Source organism: Homo sapiens, chromosome 13 (assembly GCF_000001405.40).
Source record: "Homo sapiens chromosome 13, GRCh38.p14 Primary Assembly".
Classification (NCBI taxonomy): Eukaryota; Metazoa; Chordata; class Mammalia; order Primates; family Hominidae; genus Homo; species Homo sapiens.
In genome coordinates this window covers 104,474,992-104,501,018 of record NC_000013.11, presented here as the reverse complement: position 1 = coordinate 104,501,018, position 26,027 = coordinate 104,474,992, and positions in this window count along the sequence as shown.

The window sequence follows — 26,027 nt, the reverse complement described above, 5'->3', positions numbered from 1 at the left end:
CCATGTTACCTCCTTGACAATCTCCTTATATTTTCTAACTTATATCTTTCAAATGATGCCATGTCACAATTGCCATCTTGGGCCAAGTAATTCTTTATTGTACGTGGGGTGTTCTGAGCATTATAGGATGTTTAGCAGCATCTGTGGCCTTGCCCTACTTGATACCAGCAGCGCACATTCTCAGTACAGACAACCAAAAATGTATCCAGATATTGTCAAATGTCCCTTAGGGGGAAGGGGGCCCAAAATCACCCCAGGTTGAGAATAACTTCTTTAGGGCTTGGTGTCACTTGCCGAACCAGTGTTAGAAGAATGTGTTGGCCATCCTGGAGAAGGTAAAACTTGGGGCAGACATAGTTTTGGTGTCCAGTTGTTATACTTCTTACTTAGACCATGCAGATGAAAGTTCCTTTTAATGCTTGGACAATGAGAGTGGTTATGGACATAAGGACTGGTTTGCAATCAATGCAGTCAATGTCCTCCCGTTTCTTACTTTAGGTAGAAAATGTCAGAAAGGGTATACTCATCTTTCTGATCATCCTCTGGAAAAAGAAATTGATCCTCTGAAAAACAGACAGTGTGAAGAGAGAAGCGGTATTGCCTTGCTATGTTTTCCTTCCTTTCCATCCTTCCAGCGTCTTTCTATACCACACAGTTATTCAGCACAATTCTGAGGCCACCAAAGCATCCTGATGCATCTTTCATTCTGAGAATGTTATGCATTTTCATCAAGACCCATTAGACTACCTTGGACTTGAGAAAACTTTTGTGGCAATGTTTACACCTAAGAAGTCTTGTTAAATATGTAGTAGAGAGTGCCGGAATACTTAATTTACCAATTTAATCTCTTGAGTCACTTTCTGGGGTATTTCTATTTCACTATATTTTGGAGATTATATATTTACACTTTGCTGCTAAGAAAAATCTTTATATTATGTCCTCTGTAAAGGAAAGACAGATAATTTCCCATACTTCCTAGCTGGTATGAGAAATTCTTTTCCATCTATATTAAATATTTCTGTATAAATCAATGGGAGATGTGTGTATGGCTCAGAGGAACTAATACATCCCATGCAGTGAAATCTGGACAAAAATAGTATTTGTTTTAAGATTGTAAAAACCAAACGTTCTCATTTAATTTAAGGAATGGTAATGCAGACTTCCTACAGTTTAACATTCAATGTCTGTGTTTGTAATTTATATTCATAAATATATATAATTGTGTGTTCAGAGATTGTGAAAATAGTACAATTATGCTTAATAAAGTCACATAGCAAATTCAGTGTGCCTGTATGCCTGGCAAGTATTAGAGTTTTGGAGTGATTTCTCTCAGAATGAAATGGAATATTTCCCCCTGCCACTAATTTGAAATCGAGAAGAAAAAATAATTTAATTAGTTATACTATTGCTAGGAGACACTTAGATACATATGAGTATTACTTGAAAAACAGAATACTAATTAAAACAACTGAAGAATAAATTCATGTCCACAAAATTAATAACCTGCCATTTTTCCTATTTTAATATAGCACTGCTGATATAAGAACTTTATATACAGCAGGTGAAAATGTCATAAACAAGTTCCCTTTGCAGCTGGAAATCCCTGTATCGTGGCTTTTATTAATGAATGGTGTTGTATCAGCTATAATACCATGACTTCCAGAGGACAGGTAAACAGTTATAAAGTTGTACAGTTTTTTTCTTTAAAGTTAAAAATATATGTTTTCTCAATCTTTCCTGGCAACAGTGATCTGAATGACTCTTGAATTTTCTACTGAATGCATCTGACTTTCTCCATCAAAGAATTTCATAGCTAGAGGTGTAAATCATTATTTCATATCACTCCCTTTACTAGATGATACAAATTTCAGTCTCTCTGTGTATAAAGTGCTGACATTTATTTGCAGAGATTTATATTCATTTAAAAGAATGTAACTGTCAACATCTGAAAATCATTTTGACTGTATACCTGGCTTGAGATTCTGTATGTTTTTTAACTAAAAAAGCTCATGGCAAGCTAAGAAATCTTGCATTTGTCAGGATGAATACCTTATTCTGTCCCCATTTGCTTCTGAATCATGGTTGAATTTTTAAAGGTTACATTTGTGTGTGTGTGTGTGTGTGTGTGTGTGTATGTATGTATTTATGGAATGCCAGTGGAAATAAAAATGAAATAGGCAAAAATGAAATTCAAGATACAATGATTATCTTTTTGAAGCAAATACCAAATTCACTTTTTCACTGGAAATGGAGTTGCAGCAAACATTAAGAATTGGTGTTTCAAAAATTATTTAAACAATGCTAATTATTTAATAACGCCATGAGTAGCAGGATTTTAGGTATGCTCTGATGATCACTATATACATTTTTAAATCAAATATAAAAGTGAAGCCATTGGGTTCTTTGCAAGAAATAATAGGCCAACATCATTAATTCCATAGACTGTATATAATAAGCAGCACAGCTGAAGTTTCAGCAAATAATATCTAATTAATAACTTCTATTAAGATCAGAGCTTATAAAGTTATTTATTTCTTCTAATTTTATGAATCCCATTAGTGTTGTTACATTTTTCAAATACTTCTGTCTCAAACCTCATATTGGCCGGCATTCAAGAGGCATCTGGAAGAGAGAATGGAAATCTCTTCATAAAAAAAAAAAAAAAAAAAAATATATATATATATATATATATATATATATATATAAAGATTGTGTTGGTGATGTTGTTAGTGGTGGGGCTTGGGGCAGATTACACTGAATTTGGGATGGAAGAGACGGATGGAGCAACGCCAAAGAATTTTTTCTTGGGATGCTTAGAATCACTAATTAGAAAACAAGGAGAAGGGAAGAGACCTTCCCATTAATAGTATACAGCTTACAATATGCACATTTAAAGGTTACATATACTAATTTGCTTTCAATCACAAATGTTTTTCAACTTTTCATATATAAAAATTGTGATTTTTAATAACATAAATTGGACAAATTAAGAACTAGCTTTTTAAAAAACAGCAAAAAATAGAATTCAATAGAAAGAAGAGAAAGAAATAGAGACAGAAAGAAAAAGAAAGAAGGGAGGGAGGAAGGAAGGAAGGAAGGAAGGAAAGGAGGAAGGAAAGGAGGGAAAGACAAAAGGAGAAAAGATTGGGATGATCCATTCTAGAACATGCTATTTATACCTCAAATTATATCAACATAAAATAAACTGATCGGCTATTCAGAACCAGAGGTCTTCATAAGAAAGTTATATTTTTAAATGACAGTAGATACATATCAGTAAAAAGAGATAAACTGATAAACTAATATTTCCATGAGATTTTCTTAGGAAACATAATTTATTTTAATATTTCATCCTAAATTGATTAATTGTTGGTAACATTTACTGTAACATTTTTCCAAGTGCATCATTACAAATAAACCAAAATGGGATAGGTACATTATTAGGTATCATATGAGAAACATATTACAGTTTTAGAATTTTGTAATAAAATTATTTTATGTTTTATGAAAATGAAGGGATTTCCCAAATATATGTAGTAACCAGTTGGCATTACATTCTAGATGAAGAAGTGACTTTTTAAAAAAATACGAAGGCATGCTGGATGATGTAGAAATGCTCTAACACCTGAAAAATTTTGGAGGAAAAGGAAAATTGTTTTCTAAATTTCTCATCATTGCATCCACTTCAGAACTTTAAGATTATTATCATCACGAACCAATATGGATGTGACATACCACATAATAATCAATAAATTTAAAGAAAATTTTTAACTGTTAGTTTAATTTCTTTGATCAAATATGCTCTTGTTATTTTATGCCAGTGCTGTTTTTATAGTGTATTTAGAAGATTAGTTGTCCTACAGTAACATTTATTTAATCACTGGAGTGCTAATTGCATTTTACATTCCATAACATCTTAATGGTTGGGCTGGCCATGACATGCTGATTGAAATTTAAATGAAATAGTGAAAAAAATAGCATACTCTATTTAAAACAATGGAAGTTGAGAACACTCTATAGATTAACTGGCTTGCTAAGTATCTTTGGCATTAAATTTGCAAACACAATATAGAGAAATTGAATTGTTATTTGCCATAATTAGTCTTTTTCTAGAAAAATATCACTAGAAAAAATTGAGAAAACTAGTGATAAGAGGAGCAATTAATATATTATTCTTTAAACATTTATAATTTATATATTTTATGTAGTCATATTCATTTATTAATTTGTACCTATTACATGTTGTATGTAATACATTATAGACATGTATATTAAATGTTGTATATTAAATATTATATATTATATATTTTATGTGTATACATTATATGAAATACATTTATTATATAGATATATGTCTAATATATATAAAATAAAACAATTATATATAAATATAATGAAATATAATTTTATATATACTTATTGTATCTCATTTATTTACTTATAACAAAATATCCAACAATTCTTTTTTGGAATTCTACCACCAACAACATGCCAGGCTATGTGACTGCGTAGAAGATATCTAGGAGAAGAAAAAGGGCATGCATCCTGTAACAATCAGCTCACAGACTGGTGACCAAAAGTGATTGGCAATGAGTGATGCTAGTAAAGTATAATGCATTCATTAATAGAGAATGGGCATGGTTTGATTTGATCAGCTCTAGCTGGCAGGGAGCCTGTCTCTTGACAATCCAGTAACAACGACCATTCCCTGAGAGCGTACTTTATGCTGAAGTTGTGGTAAACAGTTTATTTTATTTCAAAATTAACAAGTAAAAGATACTCGGGGAGATATTATTATTGTTCTTATTTAATATATGTGATAACTGAAGTTAAGAATCCACATAACTTCCCCAAAGTCACAGAAAAATTAATTGGTAATGTAACAATTTTAACCTCAGAATGACATTTAATCCTAGCTCTTAATCATGGTATCATTAATTTCTTATAGTTAAAATTTCTGAGTGTATCTCTAAAAGGATGTATCAGACTTCCTCATTCCATTTTTGTTTCCCAGTAAGTTCAGGTCTTGTGCATTTATATTATTTACTTAATGAATATAAGCCTCAATTGTTGATGAAAACATTACACTGTGCTGGCCGGGCACGGTGGCTCACACCTGTAATCCCAGCACTTTGGGAGGCCGAGGCAGGTGGATCACCTGAGGTCAGGAGTTCGAGATCAGCCGGGACAACATGGTGAAACCCCCTGTCTACTTAAAATACAAAAATTAGCTGGGCGTGATGGTGGGCACCAGTAATTCCAGCTACTTGGGAGACTAAGGAGGGAGAATCACTTGAACCTGGGAGGCAGAGGTTGCAGTGAGCCGAGGTCGTGCCACTGTACTCCAACCTGGGCACAACAGAGCAAGACTGTCAAAAAAAACATAAAAAAAAAGAAAAGAAGATAAAGAAAAGAAAGAAGAAAGAAAGAAAGAAAGAAAGAAAGAAAGAAAGAAAGAAAGAAAGAAAGAAAGGAAAGAAAGAAAAAGAAACAAAGAAACAAAGAGAAAGACATTATATATATATATATATATATATATATATATATATATATATGTATTACACTGTGTAAATTTCTTATCTCAGATTGATAGAGGATAGCAATCTTCCCTAAGCTCCTAAGAACATCATAAAAATCCTGTGCATTTGCTTTTCTACATTTTAATCTATTTTGTCATCCTTCCATCCATGTCAATTTTTTCCTCCAAACACTCAACTTGTAGCCTGCCAATATCTTTGTCTTTCAATATATTAATACTACAGGGCATATTAGTACTATAATGTGAACTCAGGATTAAGAAATTTATGATCTACTAAGAAAAAATTATATATTATATAAATATACAAACGTGAACTCACACATATGTACATATATACATATGTACACATAATTATAAATGTGTGTACATACATTTATTTATAAAAATTAAAATGCTGGTGCCCTTGACAGGTAGACACATGCACATAATAAAGAAAAAGGACCACTTTAAGGAGAACTACAAACTACTACGCAAGGAAATCAGACAGGACAAAAACAAATGGAAAAACATTGCATGCTCATTCATAGGAAGAATCAATATTGTGAAAATGGCCATACTGCCCAAAGTAATTTATAGATTCAATGTCATCCCCATCAAGCTACCATTGACTTTCTTCACAGAATTAGAAAAAAACTACTTTAAATTTCATATGGAATCAAAAAAGAGCCCATATAGCCAAGAAAATCCTAAGCAAAAAGAACAAAGCTGGAGGCATCATTCTACCTGACTTCAAACTATACTACAAGGCTACAGTAACCAAAACATCATGGTACTGGTACAAAAACAGATATATAGACCAATGGAACAAAACAGAGACTTCAGAAATAATGCCACACATCTGCAATCATCTGATCTTTGACAAACCTGAGAAAAACAAGCAATGGGGAAAGGATTCCTTATTTAATAAATTGTGTTGGGAAAACTGGCTGGCCATATGCAGAAAACTGAACCTGGACCCCTTCCTTACACCTTATGCAAAAATTAACTCGAGATAGATTAAAGACTTAAACCTAAGACCTAAAACCATAAAAACCCTAGAAGAAAACCTAGGCAATACCATTCAGGACATAGGCATGGGCAAAGACTTCAGTACTAAAATACCAAAAGCAATGGCAACAAAAGCCACAATTAACAACTGGGATCTAATTAAACTAAAGCGCTTCTGCACGAAGAAATTATCACCAGAGTGAACAGGTAACCTACAGAATGGCAGAAAAATTTTGCAATTTTCCAATCTGACAAAGGGCTAATATCTATAATCTACATGGAACTTAGATAAATTTACAAGAAAAAAAAAAACAAACAACCCTGTCAAAAAGTAGGTAAAGTATATGAACAGACACTTCTCAAAAGAAAATATTTATGTGGCCAAAAAACATATGAAAAAAAGCTCATCATCACTGGTCATTAGAGAAATGGAAATCAAAACCACAATGAGATACCATCTCAAGCCAGTTAGAATGGTGATCAACAAGTCAGGAAACAACAGATGCTGGAGAGGATGTGGAGAAACAGGAATGCTTTTACACTGTTGGTGGGAGTGTAAATTAGTTCAAACATTGTTGAAGACAGTTTGGCGATTCCTTAAGGATCTAGAACCAGGAATTCCATTTGACCCAGCAATCCCATTGCTGGGTATATACCCAAAGGATTATAAATCATTCTACTATAAAGACACACACACACATATGTTTATTCCAGCACTGTTCACAATAGCAAGACTTGGAACCAACACAAATACCCATCAATGATAGACTGGATAAAGAAACTGTGGCACATATACAACATGGAATACTATGCAGCCATGAAAAAGGATGAGTTCATGTCCTTTGCAGGGACACAAAGGAAGCTGGAAACCATCATTCTCAGCAAACTAACACGGGAACAGAAAACCAAACATCACATGTTCTCATTCATAAGTGGGAGCTGAACAATGAGAACACATGGACACAGGGAGGGGAACATCATACACCAGGACCTGTTGGGGGGTGGGGGGCAAGGGGAGGGATAGCATTAGGAGAAATATCTAATGTAGAAGATGGGTTGATGGGTGCAGCAAACCACCATGGCATGTGTATACCTATGTAATAAACCTGCACATTCTGCACATGTATCCCAGAACTTAAAGTATAACAATAATAAAAATAAATACATGAAAAAGAAAAAATAAAAAATTAAATCCAACTAGTGCATGTGTATGACACTGTAAAAGAATCAGGATGAAAAAAATGTTGATGGGCCTATATTGAGTGGAGGTTTATTGAGGCATATTCAACAGTGCAGGAAAATGCAGAAGGAAGTAATGGCATAGTGTTGAGGGAATTTTTAAAAATAATTTAAAAAGACTAGGTGACAAATAATAAATGGAGAAAGTGTGAGACTCCTAAAAACTCAATCCTGGCTTACTTCACAAAAAGTACTGGTATTGTAACAGACATGGGATAATCTGGAAGGTGCTGAAAAGGTTTGGAGAAAATAATATATATTTGATTTTGACCCAAGTTGAAATTAAGTTGAAGAAAAGTAGATATTTGTGCTTGAGAGAGCCTGCATGCAAGGGCTAAATATTTATGATTCACTTACACTGATCTCATTTAAGGCCATTGAAATGTATAGGAATGCCGAACAAATTAGATTAAGCAAGGTAATCAAAAGAACATCCTTGGGAAGAAACTCAAGAGGTAAAAGAGAAAATATTGCCAGAAGGGAATATGCAGTCAAAATTCTGGCTATCTAAGTAATTCATTATCATAGAAGCTGGGGAGGAAAGCATTTTAAGAAGGAAATGATGGTCAATAGTGGTACTCGCAGATTGACCTTGAAGGATAAGAGTAATGAGAAAAAGGAAACACAAAATGTTTCAATCAGGAGGCCATTGGTAATGTTCGAGGATAATTTGGCTAGAACGGTGGGCCAAATGCCAGACCAAAAGTGGTTATTTAGTATTTATATGGCTAATAAGAGCAAAATTTAATTTTTAATCAGTAAATTTATTTAATGCATATTTTCAATAATTTTGTATGTGATTTTTTTCTTTGAAAATTATTCTCTAAGAAAAAAAGGACTGTATCTTTCTGATTTAATTTTGTGGTGTCTCTAACAACACCTTGAGCTCTTTGGTGTTATAAATAATCACAATGAATAACATTGGAGAAAATTAATATATTTTGAGAAATTCTCCTGGAATTACATTGCTGTCTATACTACGGATTTAGGGTTCAAACCCCAGCTGTTTGGCAACTGCCAGAGCCTACCAGCTATGAGTTAGGACTTAGAATTTGCATTGCAAATAACCACCTGGTAATGATAGTTACCATTCGCCACTGCTTACACATTACACATAATGGATTGTTTTAGGAAGGCCAAGTATTCAACAGGCAGGCAGCTAAAACTGTGTCTGAATGTTCGTGCCAAGAGGAAAACGTGCCCATGTTTTTAACATAATTTTAAATTATGGAAATCGTTCTTCCATCACATTTTCTAAAGGTTTGGCTTGTTTTTTTTGTTAACCTTAAACCTTTTCAAGAAATTTTCAAACTGCCTCCTAAATCTCTTGAGTAAGAAATCAAGCTTTTTATCATCATTCCAGCTAGGCTTTTCTTTCTAATCATCCCCTTGCCAAAGAGTCCAAATGTAATTAATTTCCCCTGAAAATGTCTTTCTCTGCCTTCCCCATCATGTTTAACTCTGGTATGATTAACACATGCCAATTATGGAAGTTCTTCCCAAATGAACCTTTGGATGCATTTTAAAATAAATGAGAAGAATTACTGCTCATCTTGGTAAAAACAAATACACTGCTTTCACATCCTTCACTAATCTACAAGAGTCTGTTTATTAAGGAGAATAATGAAGCCAATTTGGAGAACCATATGAGACAAACTGATCTATCTGAGTGCCTATTTCATATTTCTATTATGTCTATGAGCTTAAATGTGAAAAAAAAAAATCTTGAGCTTTAATGTCTTGGGATTTTACTGACAAAACTGAGTAGTTGAGTGCTCTTTGGAATCATTGATTTGAAACAACATCAATAATGAGTGAAAAAGTCTAATCCGAAATATTACCTTTCTTGATGCCCATATCAAAGACCTTTTTCCTATTACATTTAACATCTTCTTTAGAGTAATTAACAGCACTAAGCCACTTCGTCACATGTATGGTAATTCTGAAGAAGCCTCAAGGCAGGATCAGCACACTATTTTCTAAAATATAATATTCTTCCATAGATTTACACTAAGGATATTACTCAAGATTCTGTCATATATGATTTCTCTAGTACATGTAGGCAAATTTTATTCATAAAGATGATAAACTCGGTGTGTCAAACAATACCACTGAGGAATAGAGGAGATTTCCAGAATTCAACTTTATTGTCATCTGCCTGTTGGCGGGACAGAAAATAAAAGAGCAATTATGGTTTATTTATGATAATATCAAATGATTTGAATAAAAACAATTAGTTGATTGGCAGAATCGATTAGAAAAACAAAGTTAACCAGTGTTGTTTAAAAACTTAAAACTTCAATCACTTACATCTGCACCATGTTCTCTAATTTTATTTTAATGCAGTTCCTAAAGACCTGAAGAAACAAACTGAGAACTAAGAAATTTAATATAAAAATGCTATTTGCTCTGTAACAAAATCTTGATTTATATAAATTTAATTTGTAGAGCTCTTATTACATTTTATACAGATCAGCAATTAGGAGGCTTATAGAGCATTTAAATAATTGGTTTTACTCAATTTTTGTTTTTCTAAAAAAAAGTATTAGAATATTTTAGTTATGGGAAGATAAAAATGTATTGATTAATTCTACAAATACGTATTAAGAACCTTCCTTATATAGATACTTTAGCAAATCTTAGAGTACTTAGGGGAGAAGGCAACACACGCACACACACAAACAAGATGTAGTAAGAGCTATGCTATAAAACACTATGGGAACACAGAAAAAGGAAAATATTCCTTTTGATAAACCAAACATCTGCGGTTTCTGTGCACTTTTCAACAACACTTGCTTAAAGATCCCTTTCTCAACACTGGTTTTCTTCAGTTCAGTTGACTTTGGCTACCCTGTTATTTCCCACAGGTTTCTGCCAGGGAATCAAAAATCAAAAGAGCAGCCACAGGCGTATGAGATATCATAGTCTGTTCGTACAGCTGAAACAAAATACCTGAGATTGGGTAATTTGTAAACAACAGGAACTTGTTTTTTACAGGTCTTCAGGCTGGGCAGTCCAAGACCAAGGGGCCAACAGGTTTGGTGTTTGGTGAAGCTCCAGTCTTTTTATTCAAGATGGAACCATAAATGCTGCTTTTTCTTGAGAGGACAAGTGCTGTATCCTTACACTGTAGAAGAGCAGAAAAGACCAAACTCATTCCCTCAAGCCCTTTTATCAGGGCACAAATCCTATGCCTGAGAGTTCTAACCTCATGATGTAATCATCTCCTAAAGCCTCCTCCTCTAAATACAATCACATTGGGCACTAAGTTTCAACATACAAATTCTGAGGGACTCAATCAGACCAGAGCATGAGGCAACCCCAAGCTTAATAACTCCTCTAAGTTGCTACTAAACAAAAGAAACAGATAACATTACTGAAGACCAGAAGCTATAGTCACCAAGCACAAGATGAAAGATGAAATCACAGCGGACCTGACTGTAAGACCTGTGAGAGGACACCAAGACAAGAAGAGAAGGGTAGAAATTCTTGGTTTCTCTTCTTTTCCTACTCCAATTTTTCAACAGTGCTTCCCATTAACTAAATTCCCCCAGCAATCTGAAGGCAAGGGCAAAGGAGGCACAAATCGGGGCATGGGCAAGAAATCAATAAATGGAGCCTACATGGGCCAAGGTATTCCCATTTAGCCAGTGGACTTGGTTCTCCAGGAAGAATGATCTGAGATAGACTCCATTTTCTAATGATAGTACCATGTAAGGGATGTTTACTTATACTTAAATTCATTTACTTTTTACATTAAGCTCTTTATTTTGAGATCATTTTAGATTCATATGCAGTTGTAAGAAATAAGGCAGAGAGATCCCGTGTGCCCTTTACCCAGTGTCCACCAATGATAACACCTTGCAAGACTCTGATACTAGTTATTTAATGTATTTAGTAAATTTACTTTTAAATTGCATTCTCCCTTACTTTTCTTCCTGTGAACAATTCTACTTTAAATACAATGCTTTCCCAATCCTGGGCTGTCTTCTAGGACAGTTAGGAACAATGAACGAAAAGAGAAGTCTCTCAGCTCACCTGGGCCATTTTCTACTTCATTTAACCACATTTTTTTCAGGTAATCAACTCAGGGCCACTTGGTCTTCATTTGAAGCCCATCTCTGGGCTTGGTCATAAGACCTTCCAGCTTACAGTTTCTCAGATTGCAGTCATCTATTTAATACCTGCCCGAAATTGATAACTTAAATGAGCTATTTATTAAACATAATATTAGCTCCTTGTAAGCAAAGGAGCTCTTTTATGTTCCACTGCACTTCCAGCTCCTAGAAACTTACCTGGTTCACAGTGAGGATTCAATAAGTTTTTATAAAATATTTAACCATGATATTATTCAGCCAGTAACATTCTTATTCTATATTATTCTTATCAGGATACACCTGTAGCTCAGCTATTTTTCATATTATCTTTTGTAATTGAAAAAGTAGAACATTTGTACTAAATAATGCAATACAAGTAAAGTTATCACAAAATGAAATTAGTATATGATTATCAAGTTGTTTTAATTTAATTGTTTTGTTGCAATGTGAATAAATTACTGGCTCTGGTATTACATTTTTATACTAACTGAATCTACATAATACACTATATTGTATGTTTGCTATGAACTCATCTGAACAAAATATATACCTCCTAAATATGTGTGTATATTTATGTTTGGATTAACGTGTATATATGTACACATACACATTAACATGTGATTTTCCTACTCATAACAAATATATATATGCTGTTTATAATTTTTCACATTCTAAAACTATGGATAATATTCATGACCAAATTATTGATATTAAATGTACACATAATTATCATTTTATAAAATCATTCATTTAATATGTACCGTTTGTGATCATTTGTAAACTTCCATCTTTCTTTAATCAACTTTGACTATTGGAACTGGCATAATTTATTTTAAGGAAACCCTACAGATTTTTGGTACTAACACTTACGTTGTAGGAATATTTGCATACATAGTCTTGGAGTAATTTTGAATTTTTTTGTCATGTTTTGCATTAGAATTTAGTTAACATTTTCAATCTTCATCTGTAATGTGCAAATAAAATTTATCTGTTGAATGTGCTTGTGTGTGAATATAGACAATGTGCCCATAATTGCATGCCATTTCAGATGTAGGCAATTCTCTTAGTTGAGCTGCTAAAATATAATACTTTTGACATGATCACAAAAAAAGTATATTTAAAACTTTGACATAATCACAAAAAGGTATATTTAAAACTAATGATATTTTAAACTAACTATCAGGAGACATGGTGAAGATCAACTTTTCTGAATATTGCCTTGGGTTACTCTTTGTAGACATTTTTTCTCCTGATCGGAGAGAAAGATACCTTAAGAGTTAGTTAGTGATTTATATGGCCATAAATTCACTCTCATTTAAACAAGTGTTCCCTTCTCCCATCCAGTTAGAAACAAGGTAATCAACCACAAAGTGACAGATTAGAGTTTTCTAAAGTCATGTTTTTTTCTGTCTTAGTACTCCTTCCTGGGCAGGACATAAATGAACCTCACTTAGGAACTGGGTCTGTTGCGTTCTCTTCACCCCATTCTGTTGCCAAAAGACATACATGACATTCTATCAAACGAAATGTTTGTAGAAGACAAAGTTGAAATCTCAATGCAAATACTGATGAAGGATTTAACCTAACAGGTTCACACAGGATTGAGGTTTAACAGAAAAGTCATAGACCAGGAAGAATGAATCCTGGATTTTTGCCGTTTCATATCTGCCATGAAGTAATGAGATCACCTCACATAAACCCCTTCTCTTTGGCCTTTCTTTACTCACCTATGAAATTACAAGTGTTCTGCAGGAGCATGTCCCAGATTTCTTTCTGTTCTAATACTTTAATATTTTATTATTCTTCTTGATTAAATAGTTTTTTTAATGTCTTCCCAGTGCACATGGTGTATTTATTTCTCTATTGCTTATCTCACTTTAGAATGTGCTGGGATTTTTGCTTCCAAAGCTAAATCATGAGTTCATTCAGCACAGGGGCTGGAACTTTTCCAAGAGATACAAAATTATCTCCAGAAGATGGTAGATTTTAGATAAATGTCCACTTCTAAACTGAATGTTATTCCAACAATTTAAGCAACTGCACACTTTCTTTCACTTGTTGAAGGGCAAAATGATGACCAGAAAAGTGTTCTCAGTCCATGATTTTTTTCATAAGCACAGAAAGAAATAGACATCTTCTAAAGACGTGTTCAAGAAAACAGAGGGCCAAAGAAGATACACAATAGTGTTGCCACTTTTAACTATTTCATTTACATTTCTGATGTATAACAATATAATGATTACATAGTTACAGCAATAATATCTAAAATAGCATTTAGGAAAAATTCTAAATGCTTCAAAATTTGTTAAGAGCAATTTAAAATGCTATCAAATTTGTATATACAAATATTGCAGTTTATTTGTTGTTTTATAACACATTTCACAGCAATTCTAAAACCATGTATTGTATATTAGGTCATGTGTTCACCGGCTTAAACAGCAAGGAGGAGTGAAAACATTCTGCTAAGTTTGGCCTCCACTCAAACCTAATGCATTTTATATGTCAAATGGATTCAACGCTTTCAAGGACAGAATGCAATCTATTTTTTGGCAAATATATGAGCTCCCAGGTTGAAGAAAAGACTATTGGAAACATTTCCACCCATAGCACTTTTTTATATTTTAAAATAATATTTCGATGAGTGAATATAAACCAATCAACCAATATAGTGTGTGATTTAAACACTCTGAAATCTATTTTATAATGAGTTAGATAAGCATTTCAGTAAAATGCATTTAGAATTTACGTTCCTGTTTTTTATGGTTTCTAAAAGTGTTCAGCTAGATATGTACTAATGCAAAGATGTTTTCTTTTCAAACGTCACCCAATTTGACTGTGTGATCGGAGGTATAAAGGTGGTTTAATTGAGAATTTTTTAAAAAATTAAATGTTGTGGTTGTTAAGAGTAATCCCATTCTCCTTGCCAAAGTGATATTTAGGTCTGGACAGAAAGGCTGGCCAACCTATGCACTGAATCCTTGGCAATGGTTTAATTCAAAGGTGCCAGCTACAGATTTTCCAAGACCACAAGAGTATCTGTTGATCATGAAAGCTGAGTTCACTCCTATAATACCAAGGAGAGTATCATCTCCACAGAGCCTGGGTAACACTTTACAACAGGAAAGTCAGAATAGGGTTTTGTGATCAAGGCACTGGTGGTTTAAACCAGTCCCTTTAATACAGGAATCTCAGTAAAGTGGAGCAAAGTTTATGATATAATAATTTAAGATTAGTGCACAGAGATAAGTGAAGTCCTTGAAGCAACCCTTGATAATAAGCAATGTTTTGAGAAGTAGGCAATTTGCTCAGTTAAGTCACCTAGGTCCTGAGAAAGCAGCTGTTTGCTCAAATGAACAAAACGTTTTCTTGAGCAGAGAGCAGCTTAAGTAATCTGTCAGCAAACAATGACATTATTCACTAGTTTACAGAGTTGTATCTTCCTAGGCAAGAAATTCCTGGAATAAAGAGGGAACTCCTGTTTAGGGAAGTGGCTTCCTTTCTAAATCCTGATAGTTAGGCTACAGAAAGGCAGGACCTCTTCATACTCAAAGTGGAGTTTCTAATATTTCTTGTACTACTATTTTTTATTTGACAAAAAAAGTATATGTTTATGGTATACAACATAATGTTTTGAAATATGTATACATTGTAGGATGGCTAAATCAAGCTAAATAGAACATGTTTTATATCACATTCTTATTTTTTGTAGTAAGAATACTTAAAATTTACTCTTTTAGTAGTTTCCAAGTATACAATACATTATTATTAACTATAGTTACCATGTTGTACACTGTATCCCTTGAATTTATTCCTCTTGTCTAACCGAAATTTTGAATCCTTTTTATCCTTTCTTCATTTCCCCATTCCCTCCACTACCCAGCCCTTGGTAACCACCCTTCTAACTGTTAATAACTGGAGAAATTCTCTCTTGCTCGGGCAGCTGAAGTTATGTGGTGTGATGCTTCTGCACTTTTGCTATTATAAGATCAGCCTGAGGATGACAGTTACATATAGACAAGGGTAGAAATGGGAGAAACACATGGAAATAGAGCTGGAGACCTGACAACATTGTAACCTAGTATGATATGGCACTAGGTTTTTCACATATATGAACCAATCAATTCATTCTCTTGCATTGCACATTTTACATTGGGATGTCTGCAATCTGCCTCCGAAATATGGTGATTGACTCAGGAACACAATAAACAATTAACAATTTTTTTTTTTTTGGTTAGGTAGAACTGAAGGAACATGGAATATTCCCTCAAAAATAATGGTTGTGAAGAATATTTGAATATATGGAAAAATCCTTTAGAATGTAATTTGAGGAAACTAAGGAATATGCAAAAGTTTTATTAATTCAACAAAGTTTGCTGAGAATATATCATGTATCTGATTCCTGCCCTCAGGATCCCACCTTATTTTTTAAAGAATATATTCATATTAGAAAAGGAAGAAGTTCAAGCGATTATTACCGGTAGTTATTTATAAAGAGTGAGCTCACGGCTGATTTTTTCTTCTTTATATTTTTATTAAAAATACTTTTTCACAATATATTAATCTTATTTATCTTTAAAAATATTGCTTTGAAAATTGTAAACAATTGCAGAAGCACTAAGATTTTGGAAAGTCATACCGTTAGCTTTAAGTTCAGTCTCTATAAATCTAGGAGGCATTTAATGCCATACAAAATATAGCTGATTTAAGATACTAATTGGGGATTTTTAATTCCCAGCTCAATTATTTTATCCCTATTTGATACGGATATTAAGGAGATGGAAAAATAAAAGAAAATTTAAAGTATAGGTTCTGAAAAATGATTAAAAGTCAAACATAACACTTTATAACCCTAAAATAGGCTCATTTATAATTTGTATTGGTATGCTAGTTTATAATTTTAAGTATAATTCTTGATAACTACAGAAAAGACATAACAAAACTTTTTAAAAAATCACAACCAAAATAATTATAAATATCCAATTTCTATATCCTAGATGTTATTTGTAATATCTAGATATATGCAAACAGATATAACGAAATATAATTTAAAAATATATATTATTAGAAAACATTACTATTAAAAATTATTGTACTGTACACTCAGTTTGAGGGTACTATATATTCTGATTTTTAGCTATATATTTCATTACTCATATTGATGGCAGCCACTGTCCACCTGGAGCAGCAGGCTGCCATGATGCCGGCTGCAATGGGGAGGTGCAGCTGGGGGCTGTGCGCTCCATTGAGTGGGAAGGAGCTTGGAACAGGTGGAAGCCCTGTCCACCTCCGAATTTACTGTGTGGGAGCCTTGTGCTACCTGGGCGCAGCTGCAGCCACCGAGACTGCCGCGGATCTGGACCCGGTCATCTCTGTGCTCTCTGAGGCTTGGGAAGTCCCCTGCACCCACAGGTGTGGAAGTGCCTGTTCTCACTGCCTGGCCTCTTCCAGCTCCCCAGTGTCTGCTCTGATCTTGGAGCAAATTTGAGGCCGAGCCTGGGAGCTACTGCAACCCAGCCAGATGTGCGCATGCTCAGGGCAGTGGTTACACGCCAGCCCCCTACTGCCTTGGCATTCTCTGGACTTTGGGCAACTGAGGAGCACCAAAGGGAGGGCAATGGGTTGGGAGCTGAGGGCAGCTTGGCACTGGCCTGCAGGCGCCCCTCAGCACAAACATCCTGGGCCAGGCAGGAGGCATACATGTTCCTGGGCGAAAAGGGACAGGTTCCTGGAGAAGCCCTACCTTCAAGCCAGGGATGGCCTGATGCCTGGGGGCCCGGTTGATGGACCAGAATGGGAACTTATTATATTATGAATATTTTTCTTTGAATGATTTAAACTATAAAATTACTAAATTTATCTTTGGTCCCTAACTGAAGGTCCATTTTTTTTTCAGAACTAGTTTTTTGTTTTTTTTTTTTTTTGAGAATTAGTCTTCAAATTAAAGTTGCTTTGCATTAATGAAGTTTACTTAAAATCTCCAATTTCAGAAGTGAAAATTAAAATCCACTTATTTTGGCAAGATTATCAAAAACAATATCGTAATGATAATGATAATGATAGAGGCTATATTTTTAAACAGTACATATAGCTTGAAAAATTAGACAGTAACTTGATTTTTACAGATATATGTATATTACATATATCCCATTACATATATTACATATATATTACATAGATTACATATATCCCAGAAGAAAAGGTCAATATCTCTATCATACGTACAAAATATTAAATGATTTCACTTCCTTCTTGGTTGCATATCAATTTTCAGAGATCAAATACAATTTTATGATAGGTGGCCTTATCCCTGTCAGTAAGTGATGTGTCTTTGAGCTGTGCATCAATGTGAAATATATTATTATTCTTGTATTTTTACAGGAATAGAATAGCACATCTTTATTAAGTGTCAAGTGTTTATCTTACAAGATTTAGAGTTCATAAAAATGTACAAGAAATGTGTCACAACAATTGTTTTAACATCATATAAGTTTACATTTTAGGAAAATTAATAATACACTAAAATGTGTTCTCCAATAGCATTTTAGCATTTAAAAAACTGCTTACTAAAGTTTTTATTATCCATGTGGCATTATAGAAACAAAACAATATATTTTACTTTGTACAGAAAATAATTTTGGAAATATTCTAATGCATGCTTAGTATATTTAAATTCATGCATTTGCCAAAAAAGAAATGATACTAAATGTGGCATTTACATAACATGCCACTCTTTTCCATGCCATTTTGTTTTAGGGCAACAAAACAATTGATCCATTATTCATGCATTTGATTCTATATTCAACTTCACGTTGGGTAGTCTCGATTTTACCAATATGCCAGTCAACATAAGTATAAATGCCAACCTTTACAGGTTCTATGCAAATTCTATGTGGACAAACATCAGAAAAGTTTAATCAGATTTTGTTTAAAAAGTATAGACAAAGTTAAACTATTAGAAATCTCACTTTTGAACTTAAAAATAAATGAAACATATGTTCCTCAAAATATTAAAAATAGAAATACCATATGATTCAGCAATCCCACTTCTGGCTATATATCTAGAGAAAGTGAAATCCGTACTTCTAAGAGTTATTTCCAACCCTCTTTTCATTGCAGCATTATTCACAGTAATCAAGATGTGGAAACAATAAGTGTCCATCAACAGATGAATAGATAAAGAAAATGTGAATGGAATGGAATATTATTAAGCCAAGCAAGAAGGAACGTTTGCCATTTGCAACAATATGGATAAACCTGGATAACATTATGCTACATGAAACAAACTAAATCCAAAGAGACAAATACCGTATAATGTTACTTGTATGTGGAATCTAAAGAAGTTGAAGTCATAGCAGTAGAAAATAGAATGGTGATTTCTGGGGGCTGGTGGTTTGAAGAGATGAGGAGATGCTGATAAAAGGTTACAAATTTAATTATAAGATGAACAAGTTCTGGAGATCTAATGTATAGCACGGGTAGTGATAAATGTGTTAATTAAATTGATTGTGATAATCATTATACAATGTATACACATATAAAATTGTCACATTGTACACCTTGAATATGCACAATCTTTACTTGTCAATTAAGTATTTTAAAGTATAAAAAGAAAACTGTGAAACATTCATAGAGATTATAACACAAGAAGTCTCATGTGTACAAATAACTAATACCCATTGTAAGCACCTGGCTGCAGGAAGGGAGATAAATAATATAAAATACTATTCATTAGCCAAAGCCTTTTTAAAATCTTTTCTTCTACCTCCTTCTCCTCCTTCTTCTTTTCTCATCTCTCCCACCTCTCTCCCACCCTTACTTCTCCTCCTCCTCCTCCTTGTTCTTTCTATTTAAATATTACTGTTAGAAAGATCCTAGTAGGAATCAGCTGATAGCAATTGCTCCTTTGAAAATTCTAAGTTGTCTCTAGACCTGTAGTCTTACCCAGGTTATTGTTAGTTCTTAAGAATCTTTTATGAATTTTAACTCTTTTTTAACTTAAAATAAAATAAACCATCTGAAATTCTTGGATTTGTTGGCAAAGGCATTATTGGCTTATTTGTTAAAATTAAATAATAACTGAAGCATTCAGGTTTTATTTTTCTTTGTAAAATGTATTCCCTGTGAGCATTTCTTAAAATTGATATATGTATTTTCTTTAGAATTACAGATTCTGTTTTCCTCCCAAAATTAATTAGATGTTGTGAAATACTCCTAGATGGACATTCTCTGTCATAAATGAAAGTAAAGTATTAAATTGTATCTAATTTTTAAGAGTACAGAAAATACTGTCTTTGTTTCCATATTGATTTAATACTCTAGTGACTTTGATAGGTAGCAAATATATAATGAAAAAAATAAGAAGCAACCATCTCTGTAAATCTACTTTTTCAGTATTTTTTTTTTCCTATTAGTCTTATCATCTAACTTTAAAAGATAACTGGGGAAACTTCTAGTTCTAAAATGTCAATAGAGGCAGGCTTCCCTCCTCCACCGACAAAGAAAATCAAAAGCAAACACACAGCACTGAGATTATCACCAGAAATATCCTAGAACTCAAATATGAAGATAAGACAACTCCCCGAGCCACATAGAAGTGAAAAACTCCCAGCAGCTGGTAAGACAATTGAACTTCCACATCTGTGATGCCCCTCCCCCATTCTGCCCTGCCCAAAGAACGCAGAAAATTGTTCTCTAACTCACTGGTTCTAAAACTGGAAAAAGCGAGGTTGAGGTGGACAACCAGCATCGCCATCATCTTGAAATCTGAGGCAGGAGACATGTCTCTGTTTTAAATCACGGAAAGCATCACACGTTCCCCAAAGGAGAAATAACCCTTAGGATAGGCAGAGAAAAAGAGGGAAGGTGGGACAACCATCCTCAGGACCGGAAGCGCTGTACTGTAACTCAATCAAAGAAAACACAAAATCAGAGTGACCATCTGCGGTACCACACAGAAGGATGTTTGTCCCACAAGTCCCCTGGGCATGAACCCTGAGCTAGCCTTTCCACACTACTAAGATATCCCTGTAGGAATGTCCTCCATTTGGGAAGGTGATATGGTTTTGATTTCGTGTCTCTGACCAAATTTCAGAGCTAATTGTAATTCCCCATGTTAGATGGAGGAAGGGCCAAGTGGGAGGTGATTGGATCATGGGGGCGGATTTCTCTTTTGCTGTCCTAGTGATAGTGACTTCTCACAAGATCTGGATTTTTAAAAGTGTGTAGCACCTCCCCCTTCACTCTCTTGCTCCTGCTCTATGCATGTAAGACGTGGCCACTTCCCCTTCGTCTTTGGCCGTAATTGTAAGTTTCCCCAGGCCTCCTCAGCCATGCTTCCTGTGCATCCTGTGGAACCATGAGACAATTAAACCTCTTTCCTTTATAAATTACCTGGTCTCAGGTACTTACTTTTTGCCAATACTTTCAATGGCAGGAACCACAATTACGTTTGCACCAATCTAATATCTATAGCAATGAGAGAGTAGGCTAATACAGAAGGACAATGCTTTAATCCTTTACTGGATCCAAAGTGAACCTAGGTTGAAGGTGCTATCTGGAGCAAAAAGGTGGCAGTGACCTAGCCATAAATAACCTCTAAGCACATATATCCAGTACAAATCAAAAGAAGCCAGGCAGAGAGGACTAGAATAAATCACTAAATTTTGAATGCAAAGACATAGACATATATCCACAAGAAACAACAGCAAACACAGAAGCTCTCTGACCAAGAATTCTAAATTTATTAGAGAAATTTGCCAGAGAGATTAAAATAATAATTTTAAGAAAAAAGAAATCTTAGAACTGAGAAACAGATTTGCTGAACTGAAAATATTATTAAAGGGTCTCAAAAAAATCTCTCAAGCAAAGGAAAGAATCAGTGAGCTTGAAGACAGGCTGTTTGAAAATACACAGTCAGAAGAGAAAAAAAATGAACTAAAAGCAAAGAAAATTGCCTACAAGATATAGAAAACTACCTCAAGAGACTAAATCTAAGAATTATTGGTGTTCAAGAGGGCATTGAGCAAGAGCAAGGAGTAGGAAGCTTCTCCAAAGAAACAGTAACAAAAACATTTCCCAAACCTTAGGAACATTAAATATAGGAAGGTCAGAGAACACCAAACAGTTTTGATCCAAATAAGACTACACCAAGACATATACTAATCAAATTCTTGAAGGTCAAGGACAAAGAGAATTCTAAAAGCAGTAAGAAAAAAGAAGCAAAAACATAAAGGAACTCCAACTTGTCTATCAGCAGACTTCTCAATGGACAGTCCTGGAGGGAATAAAATGGGACGTTCAAAGTGCTGAAAGGAAAAAAAAAAAATATATATATATGTATGTATATATATATATATATATATATATATATATATATATATATATGTATATATATAAAACCTGTCATCCAAGAATACTGTAGCCAGCAAAGTTATCTTTTGAATGTGAAGGAGAGATAAAATTCTTTCCTAGAGAGGATTCACAAACACCAGATCCATCTTATTAGAAATGCTAAATATCTTCAACCTGAAAGAAAAAAACACTAATATGCAATAAATAAGTAAATAAATAAATAAATAAATAAATAAATAAAGGTATAAAATTCGGTGGCAAAGTTAAGTTTATGGACAAACCCAGAAAACTAAGAAGACTTTAATACTGTATTTGTGGTATGCAATTGACATAATTACCGGACGCTGGGAAGTGTAGTGGGGGCGGGGGAGATGATGGCTAATGGTTACAAAAATTTGAAAGAATGAATATGATATTGTATTCGATAGTATGACAGGGTGACTATACTCACTAATAATTTAATTGTACATTTAAAAATAGCTTAAAAAGTATAATTGGATTGCTTGTAACACAAAGGGTGAATGCTTGAGATGATGGAAAAAATAAATATTTGGGCTGTTTGTATATTTGTTGATACTAATTACTAGTTTAGTAATCTCTTGCTCTGTTGTAGTCCCAATTCTAAAAGCTTGATATGTATAAACTCATTTAACCATAATCAATTCCTATTATTTTGTTTCATTTTTTATTGTTTTTATGATAAAAACTCTATCCCCATATTATAGATGAGAAATGTTGAAGCCAAGAGAGATATTAAGCAACACGCCAAAATTAGGCAGCCCAGGAAATGGCAGATCCGGGATGTGACCCAAGACAATACTGCCTTGTGTTCATGTTCTTCTTTTGTAGGCCCTCCACAAGCATCCAGTAATTCTAATAGTTAATAAGACCAAGATGTCTTATTGTTGCCGTAACAAATTACCCAAAGCTTGGTGGCTCAATACCCCATCTCAATACCCTTTTCTTAATCACATCTCCAAAATCTCTTTAGCCATATAAGATAAAATACTCCTATAAAGTAATATATATTGGAATCAGAATTTGGACATCTTAAGTAGTGGGGAGTATTATTCTGCTATGATAGCATTGAATAGTAATTTATCAATCCATAATCTAGATATTCAAATATATTAAATGAAATGGACTCAAATTAACTAACCATGGTTTATTTTGACAAATTAGCCAGGCAAATCCTTACCCAAATAAGAAAAGTTGCATACTTGAAATAAAATGTGGATATATTCAATTTATTTATAACTATCAAAAGGAAAAGACAAGCCACAGACATTTATTGAGAGCCTTCCATATGAGTAAGACACCACAGAAACTCATATTTGAGTGAAAAGAGCACATTACGTACTACGTGACTCCATAAGGAGGAGGCAATTGTCCCACATGATAGTACTGCAAGAAAAAGTCTCTACTTCCAATGACTCACAACTAAAAAATAAATAAAAATTTGATTCAGGAGAAAGTAGCATATTTGGGCAAGAATAAAGAGCTAGATATTTTGATTTTTCTGCTAGCCACTATATAATGTAAACATATTTCCTCTCCATAAAGAAAAACAATAAACAAAAGTAAAATAACTCTCTTATTTAAATTAGAGTGATACATTATTTTTTTCATCTCTGGGGAGTGAAAGGAACTGATTGTACTCTTTACCTAAACTACCAGTTAATCTTGAAATTTAAACACTAATCATTGAAAGGTGAAAGATTAGGAAGAGGAATGGTATGTCAATAGGCACTCAAAATAAATAAACACATTACTTCAATTATTTTGAAATGCTGTACTAAAATTCCACGTATTGACATAGATTTGTTGAGATTTGGCCTGTTCTATTTCTTATTTTTCTTTCATAACACTAAGTTGACTGATTGATTATTAAGTTGCCTCATGAAACAATTTTTTATTAGTTTTCCATGCCCTCTGCAATATTGTGTTTATGAGTAGTTAGTCACTTACACCCTCTACTTCCCCAAACTCCATTTGTTGCTTTGGCAGAGGCCCGATGATAGTGTTTTCACTACAATCCACTTAAGTCAAAGCTGTTTCTATCCCTTGTTACCTAGAGTGATTATCTATCCCAATTTATCTGGACTAGTCAAATTTTACACTTGTTTTGACATAATCCTGTACTGGTTTATACATTAAATTACAGGAATGTATTTAAAATAGGATCTAAATTACTATTTAGATCCCTTGTATCTCAACCCAGCAAGAAAACTGTATTTTCTCATCCACACTGACTCTCAAAATTATTTTTTCTTATATGAAACTCTCTAAATCGTTGACATCTACACCATGCAGCCATTATGCCTTCCCCATTGCCATCACTCACAGCCCTACTTCCCTAGTTTTTTTAATCTTGATGAAAAGTCATCATCATCCACTTCTTTGCTCATGTCAGAAAACTAGAGGCATCCAAGATTTCTCTCTTCCCTCCACCTCCCACCAACCGATTCTTAACCAAGGCCATTGTTATACTTTCAATATAAATGTATATAACAAATCATCTTTTTCTCTTCTCCCACTCTCCGAAAGCCAAGCCTAAGCCAACAATATGTCATGTTTAGAAAACTAAAATACCATCTTTCTTTTCCTTAACTCTGTTCTTGCTACGTTCTTTTCTTCTCATTGTATCAGTAAAGGACTTCCCTTTTAATTAATGTTTACATACAACTGATGTTTATAGAGACGCAAATGAGAAGGGTGTAAGTAACATTTTTTTTTCGTGTGATAGTCTAGACATAAGATAGCTAACAAGATATGGTTTCCAGCATCCAGGTATGTAGAAGGATTCTATATATCTATGGATCTTCCATCCCTAGCATGCTTTCATCAATATGCTCTATTATGATTCACCAATATGTCTACGATGCAAACAAAGGTAAAGAGGAAATGGAGAGAAGAGGACTACTTTTGTTTTCAGAACACAACCTAGCTCATTGGCAAGGTCTCATTCAATGGCCGTGTATCGCTTTAAGAAAGCTGAAAAATAGAATCTTAGTGGCCACTCAAAAAACAAGAGCTCCATTACCAGGGAAGAAAAAAATAATGGATAGAGAACACACACTTCCTGTACTGTAATGGAAGTCAAATAAAATTGGTTCTTTGGTTAGAAATCTTTTGTTTACTACAGTTTATTGCATTTGGTGGGGTGGGGGAAAATCAAATTCTACCCCAAGGTAGATAAGGAACTTGCATAGCTCTTCAGACACATTTCTTGCCATTGCTTCTTCACGCAGTGCATCACCCAAGCACACAGAGCTCTTTCCCACCTCAGAGCAGGTGTATTTGCTCTTCTCTTTATCCAGACTCTATCAGGATCTTCCCATAGCTCCTCGTCTTCACGTGGGCCTCAACTTAAATATCTTCCTCAGAGATACACCTTCTTTGACTATTGCATCAAAATATCTCTCCCGTTTTTTCCTAACACAAACCACTTAGAAAAATCTTCGTAACAGTTAGCACAACCTTTAATATTTTAATGTACTTGTCCATTTGTTTGTTATTTCTCTAAAGTTCTGCAGATTCTATGAGGTTTCTTGTTTGCTTATCTTCCTTCTGTCTGCACTCCAGTTACTGGAATGAAATCATGTACTAGAAACTCAATAAATATTTGTTAAATAAATGTTGAAATAAAAAATTAAATGATCAAAAATACAGGAGGCTTGTATACAGTATGATAATTTAAGAAATAAATGTTTCCCAGAATCATAAAAAGTTGTGATATAACACTTTGCTTTTGTTAAAGCATCTTTTCTATAATAAATCAGACTGTAAAATATGATATGCTTTCAAAAAATATG